The sequence below is a fragment of the Homo sapiens genome, chromosome 3, assembly GCF_000001405.40.
Source record: "Homo sapiens chromosome 3, GRCh38.p14 Primary Assembly".
NCBI classification, from domain to species: domain Eukaryota; kingdom Metazoa; phylum Chordata; class Mammalia; order Primates; family Hominidae; genus Homo; species Homo sapiens.
Window position 1 is genome coordinate 146,672,116 of NC_000003.12, and position 13,389 is coordinate 146,685,504.

Sequence of the window (13,389 nt, forward strand, 5' to 3'; positions counted from 1 at the left end):
GGGAGGGGTGGCTCAGGCTGCTGAACCAGGCGAGTGAGTGCACTGAATGCCTGGAGTTCTGTCTGGGAGTGAAGCAAAGAGGGCTACAGCACACCAAAATCCCAGGGGAGCAGGCTAGGGCACCAAGCAATGATGCTTGCAGACTAGTTCCAAGTCACAAAACTGGCACTGTCTGCAAGTCTCATCACCCATGATAAACCATGGCTGTAGCAGCTCTCCTCCTGCCCCAGCACTATAATGGGGGAGAACACCTACTGCACCTACTGCTGAGCTGCTTTCCACAATTCTATCTGTGTAGGCCCCTATCCCACTCTAGAGCGGGAACTCCAGTCTCTGCCCTGACACAAAAATGCCTGTGTGGCCATGCTGCTGTGTCACCAAAGATTGACTGACTTTGTACCTGCATGGATTAAAAATGGTATCCCACTCTTGGTCCCAAGTCTGTGAAAATGCCTGCAGTTTTTGCCAGTGTCTTTCCCTTTCTACGTCTCAAAGCCTCCCCAAAAGTTAGCTCCAGGGCTTGGGAGAAACAAAGCAGTCTCTCTTCTCTCTTGGCCTGGGTTGCTCAGATCCCCAGTGTGAAGGAGGGTCAGAGAGGGAAGTTTTCTGCCCCACTCATGTACTGGGACTTCTCTCACTTTTATCAGTCAGATGCCATAATGAGGGCCATTTGCCCACATTCTTTCTCTTCCTTGGGTTCTGGGATGTCCATCACAATTTTTGTGGATTTCCATTTTCCTTCTTGAATTAAAGTTCACAGAGTTGATCTTCATGTATATTTTTCTTCTTGAATTAAAGCTCACAGAGTCGATATTATGCAAAATATATTTTGCTATTTCCAAGTGGCTGAGGCACACTAAAAGCCTGTAATCTGACATCCTGGGGGGAAGAAACTAAAAATGAAAATGTGTATTTTTAAGTGAGCTTTTTTTTGTTTTTTGACTTATAACATAGATTTGTGTACTTTACAAAAAGTAAACATATCTCTGTAATATTCCTAGAAAAGACATAGATTCATGCGAGACTCCTCCATTTTACTGCATTTACTAGTAGTTTGTTTATCCTTATTGCAGAATACTATTCCATTATATAAACATATCTAGTTTATTTATCAATTCTGCTATCAACAAACGTGATTGTTCTTTTTGCCCTTTGACTATGATGAGGAGTTCCTGCTATGAACATTCTTGTACTTTTTTTGTACAAACAAATATATTTTTCTCATGGGTATATAACTAGAAATAAAATTGCTAAATTACTAGATCGTAGGTTATCTGTATGTTCAACTTTAATACATAATACATAATATTAAATATTTTAAAATTGTTCTACCAATTTACATTCCTATCAGAATATGAAAAAGTTCAAATATTGTTTCATACTCTCTGGCCAATATTAATGATTGTTAGATTTTTTTTTTCGTTTCAGCCATCCCAAAGTTTTACCTTTTATTCCTCTACTGATATGTTTATTAGTCGTGTAATTATTCACTGCTATAAAGTGCCGGTTCAAATATTTGGCCTCTTTTTTGTTATGTTGTCTTTCTCTTATGAATTCATAGGATTTTTGTGTATTCTGGATAAGTGTTCGTATCATATATAAGTTTAAAAAATTTTATACTATTCGGAGAATTACCTTTTTTACACTCAATCATAGTTATGATAAGTTTCAATTTTAATGCAGTCTAGTTTATCCCTTTTTTCCCAATAAACTTGCATTTATTAATCTTATTTGTGCTCTGTTTAAAAAATCTTTTTCCATCCAGTAGTCATGAAGGTTTTCTAGATTTTCTCCAAGAAGATTTTTATGTTTAGAAACCACCTGGATTCAATTTACATGTATGTGTGAATTACAGGTCAAGATTCTTTTTTTCTCATGCAAATAACCAATGACTCTTTTTCTCAATGTACTTCAGTAATATCTTTCTCATAATTTAAATAATGTATATTTGTGTACATCTTTCTCATAATTCACATAATGTACTGTTTCTGGATTCTATTTTATTTTAATGTTTGTTGTTGTTGTTGTTGTTGTTTTGTTTTGTTTTTGAGACAGGTTCTCACCCTGTCTCTCAGTCTAAAGTACAGCGGCACAATTTCGGCTCACTGAAGCCTTGACCTCCTGGGCTCATGCAACGCTCCCACCTCTGCCTCCCAAGTAGCTGGGGCTACAGGTGTATGTCACCACACCCAGCTAATTTTTAAAATTTTTTTTGTAGAGATGAGTTCTCACCATGTTGCCCAGGCTGGTCTTGAACTCCTGTACTCAATCAATCCTCCTGCCTTGGCCTCCCAAATTGCTGTGATTATAGACAGGAGTCGTCACACCTGGCCTACATTAATGATTAATTTTTAAAATCTTTTTGCAAATACAAAGCTACCTTAATTAATGTAGATATAATAAGTCTTTATTTTTGGAAGTGTTAGTTTCTGTTTCCTTTTTATCTTCAAGATTATCCTGGCTTTTTTGGCTTTTTCAGTTCTCAAAAGTATTTTATATATACACACACACACCCTCATGGGGTTTTGTTTGACATTTCTGTAAATATTTCATATACACTTGAAAAAATGTATATTTCTGTTGTTACTGTCATATAAGTCAATTTGGTTAATATCATTCAAATATTCTATAACTGCTTGTTCTATCAGGGGCTATCAGGTATTATAAAATATAGTTATAGTCTCCTCTACTTCTGTTTTTAATTTTGTTAGTTTTTGCTTCACATGTTTTAAGGCCACGCTATTATGTGTATGCAGATTTAGAATTTTATACCTTTCTGTTGAATTGATTCTTATGATTATAAAATGTCCCCTTTATTCTCCAATAATACACTTTGTCTTAAAGTCTTTTTCTGATATTTTATATATTTTAATGTTATTATATTTGGTTACTGTCTACATAGTATATATTTTTATATTCTTTATTGTCATTAGTTATGTGATTTTATGCAAAAGATATACCTCATAAGCAATATATGTGTGTTTTTGTACATATGTTTGGATGTATATATGTATTGTATATACATATACATAATACACATAAATACACACACACACACACACACACACACACACACACACATATATATATATATTTTTACTACTCTGATAACCATAGACTTTTGTTGGGGTACCTCTTCCACTCACATTTAAGGTAATTTTTAATATATTTGCCTTTAAATCTACCATGTAACTATTTGTGTTTTTTGTCCATTGTTATGTTTGTTCTTTGTTGTTTTCTCTCTTTTCTTGTCTCATTTTTGATAAAGCATGTTTAAAAAATTATTTTATTTCTTATTAGCTTGTTAATAACTCTATTATTTTATATTCTCTTTTTAATTATTTTAGAGCACCGTTCAATACAGTAACTGCTAGCCACATGGAGCTATTTAAATTAAACTTAAGTAAAGGTAAAAATTCAGTTTCTTAGTCACACTGGCCACATTTCAAGTGCTCAATAGCCACATGTGGCTAAGGGTTATTGTTTAGAAGAGCGTGGATTATGGAATATGTCCATTATTGCAAAAATTCTATTTAATAGTGCCACCCTAAGGATTACAACATGTGTTTTTGATCCATTACAGTATACTTTAAATTAGTATTCTTTCTATTTCTTGGACAATGCAAGATCAACACAACTTTATTTAATTCCTTCTTGCTTTTTGAAAGGCTCATGAAATTTAATCATTTAAATATTTTGTCCCCATGTGGCATTATTTTTATATTTAAACAACCAACGCTAATTCAGAGTTCCTTAAATATTTATCCTTTTTGGTAGTCTTCATTTCTCCATGCATAATTGTGTTTCTTTTTGTGATAATTTTTTACCTATCTGTAGTATTCCCTTTCATATTTCTTTTATTGAAGGACTGCTGGTGATGACCTTTTTCAGTTTATTTTTGCTTGAAAATATCTTTATGTTAAGTTTATTTTCGAGTGTTGGTGAGTTAAAAATTCTAAGTTGGCCATTATTTTCTTACTGTACTTTAATAATATTGCAACATTGTCACATAAATTCTTATCTTCTGCACTCACAAATCCACCCAGATTCAACAGAGGGACTATGGACTGCGCTTCTGAATGAAAAGAATGTCAAAATTATATTGGAAGAAGGGCATGTGAAATAGAATAGGTTGGAGCCATTTTTAGAAAATATAATCTGCCTCAGTACCCTCCTGTTATTATTTAAATTCAGTTAGTATCTGTGGTGATTTCTCTCTCTTTCAAAATTCCAGATATAGGTAAACTCATGTCATGGGGGTTTGTTGTACAGATGATTTCATCTCCCAGGTATTAAGTCCAGTACCCAGTAGTTAGTTATCTTTTCTGCTCCTCTCTCTGCTCCCAGACTCCACCCTCATGTAGACCCCAGGGTCTGTTGTTCCTTTCCTTGTGTTCATGAGTTTTTATCATTTAGCTCTCACTTATAAGCGAGAACATTTAATATTTGGTTTTCTGTCCCTGTGTTAGTTTGCTAAGGATAGCAAACCTTCACATGTACCCCTGAACCTAAAGTAAAAGTAAAGAAAATTAGAAAGCTTTTTAAGATGAAAACATTGATGCCTAAAGAAACTAAGCAATTTGCCCAGACAGTATGCGATAGAGCTGGGATTCGAACCCAGGTTGACAAACCATAAAGCAAATACAACTTTACAGTATTGTATCTTAAGAATTGTCATTACAAATAAAATCTATAAAATATTTATTCTCACCAAAAATTCCAGATATTAGTAATTTGTACTATCTATATGTTTTGGCTCCATATTCCCAGAGGTTTATTCATTTCATTATTTTTTTCAAATAAAGAGCTTTTGATTTTTTAATCTTTCTCATTGTGTTTCCTTCAATATCTGGTTTATGGGTATTATTTATTTCCCTCACTGTTCTTTTTTTCCCCATATAATTCAGACTGGGTAATTTCTGCTGACCTCTCTGCACACTCATTTATGCTTTCCCTAGCCACACTTGCCTTGTGGCCATATTTCATAGACGTCAGATATTTTCCCATTTAGGGCTTTGCATAGATTTTTCCCTCCAAAATATTAACATAGTGTATTAGTCCATTTTCACATTGCTATAAAGAAATATCCAAGACTGGGTAATTTACAAAAAAGAGCTTTAATGAAGTCACAGTTCCACATGGCTGGGGAGGCCTTGGGAAACTTACAATCATTGCAGAAGGGGAAGCAGGCACATCTTACACGGTGGCAGGAGAGAGGGAAAGTGTGAAGGAGGAACTGTCAAACTCCTATAAAACCATCAGATCTTGTGAGAACTCACTATTATGAGAATTGCGTGGAGGAAACCACCCCCATAATTCGATCACCTCCCACCAGGTATCTCCCTTGACATGTGGGGTTTATGGGGATAATAATTAGAGATGATATTTGGGTGGGGACACAGAATCAAAACATGTCACATAGCTTAACCTTCTCATCTCAAATATTTGCCCAAATGTCACTTTCTCAAAGAAGACTCTACTGACAACCCTTAAACTTAGTCATCTCTGATTAGCCTAAAAAAAGAGCAATCTGCCCTCAGTCCCTGTGTTCTCTTTCTTCTTTGTTCTATCTTTAATTTTTCTCATAAAATTTATTATTTTCTGTAATGTCATAATATTTGCTTTTTTATTTTTAGTGCTTCCTTCATGATGATTCTTTTCTGCAGTCTAAACTCCTTAAGTAAGGTGCACTTAGTATGTTTTAGTCACTCATGTAGCCCAAGTGCCTAGAACATTGCCATCTCAAAGTAAGTGCTTGTTAAGTCCTTGTTGAATAAATGAAAAAATTTCCTCTTGTATCTTCCTGAAACTAACATTTTCACATTGAAAATATATTCTCCCTACTGTTATCACCAAAGAAGATCTTGGAGTTGTTGGGTCCGGGAGATGTACAATACATGGAGTCCTGATGTAATTGCATAATAACACCATACAGTGACTTTACAGACTGGTCAAGGCTGGAATTTGGAATTTCCTCCTCCTCTGAGCCTCTGTAGCATTTAGCTCTGAAATTTTTATAGTTTTTATTGCATAATATTTATAGCAATTAAGTTTTGTCAGGACTAGAGGCTTATATAAATTTTTCAAAAGTCTCTCAGTGTGCATCACTGAAATGAATGGCTTTTAAGAGCTCATACAGGAGCTGGTTGGCATCTCAAAGCCCTCTGGATAATTCCCATAGACCACCTCAGCCAGCAGGAGTGATGTTGGTGATTCTCAAAAAGTTTATCTGGAAGCTGCTTTGAAACTCATATGTGCTGAAATATCTGCCGAAATATCTGCCTACAGCCGCTTCCAACAATAATGGATTCTTATTTTCTTCCTCTTTCTAAATCAGAAAATTTATTTGGAAATAAACTTTCCCTCTGTGGAGTTTCTCTGCATTTATGGATTTAAGTGTATATACATAATTGTAGTAATTATTATTCCCTCACATATCTCAAATTAGTTTTCTATCTTTCCAATTGTTGATAATTTTCTATTTATACTTTTTCATTAAACTAATTAATAATTATGAATTTTAAAATTTATTCTGCTTTTATGTCTGAATCTTGGCTAGAGTCCAAATTGGGTAATAATCAGACTACCAAAAATTCCCTCTGCAATTTGAATGAGAAGTGTTGTTCTCTATTTTGTCTGCTAAAGTTCTTTTCTTGGGGTTGCTGGGTGAAAGTGACAATTCTATCATATATGAAAGGTGACATTTCATTTGTATTTATTCAATGTAATCCATTCACTGTTGTAAAAATGAGAACTGCTTCTTGCTACCACATAACAGAAGGATGCAGATTATTTCATTGCCATTAGCAGTGCAAGTTAATAATGTTATTGCCATTGAGTCTTATGCCTAAAAGTGGGGCACAGGTCGGAAAAGAGGAAATAAGTTGGTATGTGGAAAAGAAATGGCATTCTTTGCTGCCATTTTTTCCCATTGAAGATAGTAATCTATCTCTCTAGTGAAGTATGTTAACTGATGTATTTGAATTTTACTTTTGCTTAATCCTACATGAGGGAGACATTAAAATAGCAGTGAGTACTTTTAATCTACTCACAGTCTTTCTAACATGTAACATTGGAAGCTGTATCACTACAGGCAATTACAAAAAAAAAAGCTTCTAACTGCCCAATTCTAAAGATATGAATGTCATTTCTGTTACTTTGCCAGAATAATGACCCCAATTCAGAACACTGTGGTATTCTTTTGACATCACTAAGCCTAGAGGATTTTTTAAAAGTAAGGTTTATTGAGGTATGATTTACATATAATATAATTCACCCATTTTAGTATACACTTTTATGAGTTTTGACAAATGCACATAGTTACGTAACTATCACTAAAATTAAGAATAAAGAATAGCTCCATTATACCAAAAAATTTCTTGCACGTCTTTGTGGTCACCCTTTTCTTCGATCCTCAGCTCCTGTGAAACATTGATCTGGCTTTCTTTTCCCTATAGCTTGCCTTTTAGGTAATATAATATAAATGAAATCATACAGTATGTAGCCTTTTGAGTTGGGCTTCTTTCATTTAACATAATACATTTGATGTCCATCTGTGTTGTTGGGGTATTAGCAGTTTGTTCTATTTAGCTTCCAGTTTAAATGACAGAATCAGCAAGTGTTGCTTGTTCAAACTCAGATAAAGCTGGTTTATAAGTAGAAAATACATAGATACCTACTCTTAAATCCTTGAGCATAAGATCTGTTTCACTGGGAGCTCACAGAAGAATAAAACTTTAGAAAAAGCAATGCAATTAAATTAGTTACATAAACTAAATTTAAAAACTATAAATATATTCATTTTATCTTTTCAGGTGAAAGTAATGCCTTTAAAAGTTCAGGCTAGTGAATATACAATCTATAAAAAGCACCTGAGTCTGTCAGGAATTGTTTTATTTCCTGCATACCTTCAGGAAAATTTCGGTTTAAGTGATTGAAAATTAAACATATACCAGAGTAATTATTGCTCTACTAAATTTCAAAGAAATTGATTGTTCACCATTCTTTACAAAGTGGTACCCTAATTTCATTCCTTAATCCCATATCATCTGGTTGTAAGAGTGTACAATGCCAGTCACGTGATAATATCTAATTAAACTTATATACGACCATAACTTTTAGTATAACAAACAGGCATTAAAGTTTTAATTGTAATACCATATATGTATCATTTTTCCAGTTGTGTTTTGTTGGTTGATCCCATCAAGTATGTGATATGAAGTATATTTCATCCCTAATAATTTCAATGAGGTTCTAATACATTGATCAGATTTTTAAATATATTATATTTAAACCAAAAAGGCACATTATCTTACATTTTAATGGAATTTTAGAATTTTTATGCTGTGTTGTGGGATTATAGGATTATAAGGTATTTTCTTTTCTCCTCAAAAGCAAGACCTTACCGTTTAATTGAAGAGCTCAAACAGCTCAAGTAGAGAAAAATAGTATATTTGAAAAAGAAATCTATATAAAAGAATTTTCTTACCATGATGAGATAGACTAAAAAACAAAAACCCTTTGAGTGGTCTCATCCCACTGTAGTATCAAACCATTTTGCAATGCATCTTTTCCTTTTTTGTTCTCTTGCTGACAGCCCTTGTGTATTTTATTTGTATGCAAGTGAATGGCAGTTTATTGTGTCCCGGAGGATAGGGTATTAATGATCATTTGCTTCCTGCTGTGGGGCCTGTCATAATTTTGTAGTCAGAAGAGTGACAGAAGTAACGGCCAATCAGTATGCTAATACTGCTTGAGAATGGGTAGTTAGTCCATTTTAACCAAGGTTTTTCTGCCAAATCCTTAGGTAATTTTCATTAAAAAATGCAATTTTTGATAGCATTGCAAATTGCTAGATGGAACCCGTTGAAGAAACCACATATTTCTTTTGTGTGGCAGTCGGACTTCTATCTCAGCAGGTGTCTTCTAGGGAAGAAAGAAAGACTTCTAATCTGAAAGCCCATTTTGGTCAGCAAGAATCAATGACTAAAACATTCAGCAATTTGTTATATCAATATCTTAACAGAGAGAATTCTATGCAGCATACAAAAATTAAATCTAGTCTCTGACAAGTAAATAGGATGTAGAATCTTTAAAAATGATAGTTGAAAGCCAAATGTAAAAAATCCTGCAGATTTATACAATGTGATATCATTCATTTTCTTCTTTACTATTCTATTTGTTTCTTCCATTTTATGTCATTTGTTTTTTTTAATGAAAGGATATGCTTAAAAACAATAACATTCAATGCTAGTCTATAAATATTCAAAAATTTTATTGGCAATTTTACAATATACAACCTATAGTGAGTGTACTCTTGACTAGGAAAAAAAAGAGTTTCTTAAAATGATTTGTGAGTGTTTGCACAGCACGTGAACACATGATTACAGAGGGGATTAGTGGATTAAGGTATCGACAGTTGGCAGCCTTAAGGCTACAGATAAAAAGAACTCCACTATCTCTCCATAAAATAACATTTTATTTTTACCCACATGCAAACAATGCCAGCTATGTAAACTATAAACAGAATTATTTTGAGAATACTATTGTCACTTAAATATGTTCATCATAGAAAGCAGAACAATAATAAAAACAACAAAAACTTCACATATGTATATAACTGCATGAAATACAAGGTAATATCATTTACCATTACAAATATGTTTGAGGAGCTCTGATTAACCATTGAGTCTGGAGAAATAGTTCTTTTCTACATATTAAGATTTGAGCTGATTTCAAAATGTAAACTTCTTAGGTTGTAGTGATAATCAATGCCATTGTCAGAAAAATATTCAATATATTTTAATAAAAATTAAATAGATAACTATATCAAACGCAATTTTACTTTTTGGAAAATAGAGAAACAAACCTTGTTTGCTGCCTGCTGTTTTTTTATATATGCAAATCTTTATACATCACAGAACAACCTAGCTGCCTTCTACAATCTCATAAACATTTTTACTATTTTATGAGATGTTTGTAATAAATGTGATTGATGATTCTTTTTTACAATTGCCTATTAGAAATACCATTTTGTGATTAAATACTTAGGGGTAACTCAATTCCAAGTCAGGAGATTACAAGTTAAGAATTGACAAGAATGCCAAACTACATGTTTATCTACTATTTATTTTAAATAGTATTTTTTCCAGTTTACAGAGATTTTGCGTTTCGATTAATTGCACACATATCTAAAAATACTGCTAGTGTGGCTTGGCTCCGGGAAACAGCCTGAAGCTGCAAACGCACATATAGTCACAAGGGTGAGTAGCTATAATTGTATTGGAGTGCATCCAAGAAATCAGCTATTCTGTTTATACTTACTGCCGCTTCAAATTTATGTATATCTCAAGCAAACATACTGTAAATTGACTTTAATACTAAAATTGTTGACCTTGACAATGAAGTTTATTGACCATTTTTCATGTTGCTGCTATCTTCCAAAAATTGAAAATTAAGGTAAATATTGATAATAGATAATTAAGTATAATTTGAAATTATAGTTTCCTCCTTAAGGTTTAAAAAGCCTATTGGCTTAATGTAGTAAAATACAATGCATAAAAATATAAAAATAAAATATTAATACTAAGGTCATTTAAAATGGGAGTGGTCTACTGTGAACTACAATTAGAACAGACTGCTCAGGTATCATTTGCATTAGCCTGGAAATAGAGTTGCCTTATGTCTAATAATCCAATCTAGTATGAATGAAGGCAAATTTTCAATGGCTCTAATTTTAGGTGTTGGAGAAACAGATGCTGTATTTATTCAGATATTTGCTGAAGTCTAATTTACATTTGGGTCTGCAAGCTATTTTAGTTTTCTCTTTTATTCAAATTACCTTAAAAAAGAGACATGTTGATCTGAGCCATATTAAAACCCATAGCACTGTTGAGACAAAACTTAAGGAGTATGTGTTTTTTTTTTTTCTGTGTATGTAATGTGGAAAGCCTTGACATATTATGCGTCATGGCTTCTTGATTTTATTCTTCTGGAATTTGCTCTTTATGTCTTCTGATTGTGTTTTCCTGGAATCATCCTCCCTGGCATATAACCTTCAGATTTTCTTTCAGGTCACACTTCTATGGAATTTCATACACTGGTGAAGTAAGTCAGGTCCAGGAATACCCTCCTTCTCAGGTTTGTGTTGCAACCCAGAAATCAAACTGGGAGCTTAAGCAAAGGAGGCACAGGGGAGGAAACAGGTCAGATGATAGTCTATGAAGAAGAACTTCTGGTGGCTGATTCTGATTTGTCCTTTTTCAGTAGATATGGCCACTGGATTTGTAGTCCAAAGATAGGCATTAATACATTTTATTTCTCCATGGATCCAGCTGAATAGAAGATATTACATATTTCACATTAAATATCTTGCCATTTCTTTTTCAAATAACAGAAGATTATACCCATTCTTTCTGCATTTACAAAGAGACCCTTTTACGTTCTACCATGGAAAAAGAGCTACCAGTTAGTTAATAAGTCTTTTGCTCACCATAGTCATATATTCAAGATAATATAGTACTAAAGGGGATCAATTCTTGTTGGATGTGAAGTCCATTCTGCCATTAACCAGCTGAGTGACTAGGGAAGTTAGCCTCTTTGGGCATCAATATCTTCATCTATAATTTAATACAATAGTGCAACTTACATTATTTGCTGGTTTTAAAGATTAAAGTAGCAATGCATATCTAGCACTTACAAGCTACTTCCTATATACTATGTACTATGTATGTAATTGCTATTATTAATACTATAATCTATTTATTTGGTCACTCATTCCGTCATTATATCTACACAACTTTCTACCATCTTACTCATGCACTCATTCTGGCACTAACCAAAGCTCTATGGGGAAAGAATCCTGCAATGTGTATACAGTAGGGTTTATGTTACTGAGGAATTAATTGTCTGTCAGAAGAATTAATATGGATATCAATCTAAAACACATAATTAAAAGTGGTAGGTACATAAACAATGCTGTGGGTGTTCAGAGCAATAAAAATAAGCAGAATATAGTTTTTTAATTCATAATGTTAGCCACTGTGATAGATACTTTACAAATGTTATTTCATTCAACTCTTGCCTTGAGAAGATAATTTTTTGCAGTAAATGATTAGTGAGATAAGTAATAAAGGGCTGGTTGGATTTGAATTTAAGGAGAAGTGAGAAAATTATTCCATTCAGAGAGGAGCAATTACACTAAAGCGCATAGTCTGGGATGGGGAAAAACTAAACAGCTCTGTTTGGTGAGAACACAGGACTCAAGGAAGGAAACAGCTGATGCATCATCACCTAAGGAAAGTCCAGAATAATATAAAGAAGGTGTATTAGTCAATTTTCATGCTGCTGATAAAGATATACCAGAGACTGGGAAATTTACAAAACAAAGAGGTTTAATTGGACTTACAGTTCCACGTGGCAGGGGAAGGTCTTACAATCATGGCAGAGGGTGAAAGGCACTTCTTACATCGTGGAAGCAAGAGAGAATGAGCAAGAAGCAAAAGCAGAAACCCCTGATGAACCCATCAGATCTCATGAGACTTATTCACTATCATGAGAATAGCATGGGAAAGACGAGCCCCCATGATTCACTTACCTCCCCCTGGGTCCCTCCCACAACACGTGGGAATTCTGGGAGATACAATTCAAGTTAAGATTTGAATGGGGACACACCCAAACCATATCATTCCACCCCTGGCCCCTCCAAATCTCATGTCCTCACCTTTCAAAACTGATCATGCCTTCCCAACAGTCCCCCAAAGTCTTAACTCATTTCAGCATTAACCCAAACATCCATAGTACAAAGTCTCATCTGAGACAAGGCAAATCCCTTTCACCTATGAGCCTGTCAAATCAAAAGCAAGATAGTTACTTCCTAGATACAATGGGGTACAGGCGTTGGGTAAATACAGCCATTCCAAATGGGAGAAATTGACAAAAATAAAGGGGTTACAGGGCCCATGCAAGTCTGAAATCCAGCAGGGCAGTCACATTTTAAAGCTCCAAAATGATCTCCTTTGACTCCAGGTCTCATATTCAAGTCACACTGATGCTAGAGGTGTGTTCCTATGGTCTTGGGCAACTCCCCCTCTGTGGCTTTGCAGGGTACAGGCTCCCTCCAAGCTGCTTTTGCAGGCTGGCATTGAGCGTCTGCAGCTTTTCCAGGTGCATGGTGCAAGCTGTCGGTGGCTCTGCCATTCTGGAGTCTGGAGGAAAGTGGCCCTCTTCTCACAGCTCCACTAGGCAGTGCCCCAGTAGGGACTCTAGGTGGGAGCTCTGAACTCCCCTTTCCCTTCTGCAGTGCCCTAGCAGAGATTCTTCATGAGGACCCCACCTCTGCAGCAAACTTGCCTGGGCATCCAGGCGTTTCCATACATCTGCAATATAGGC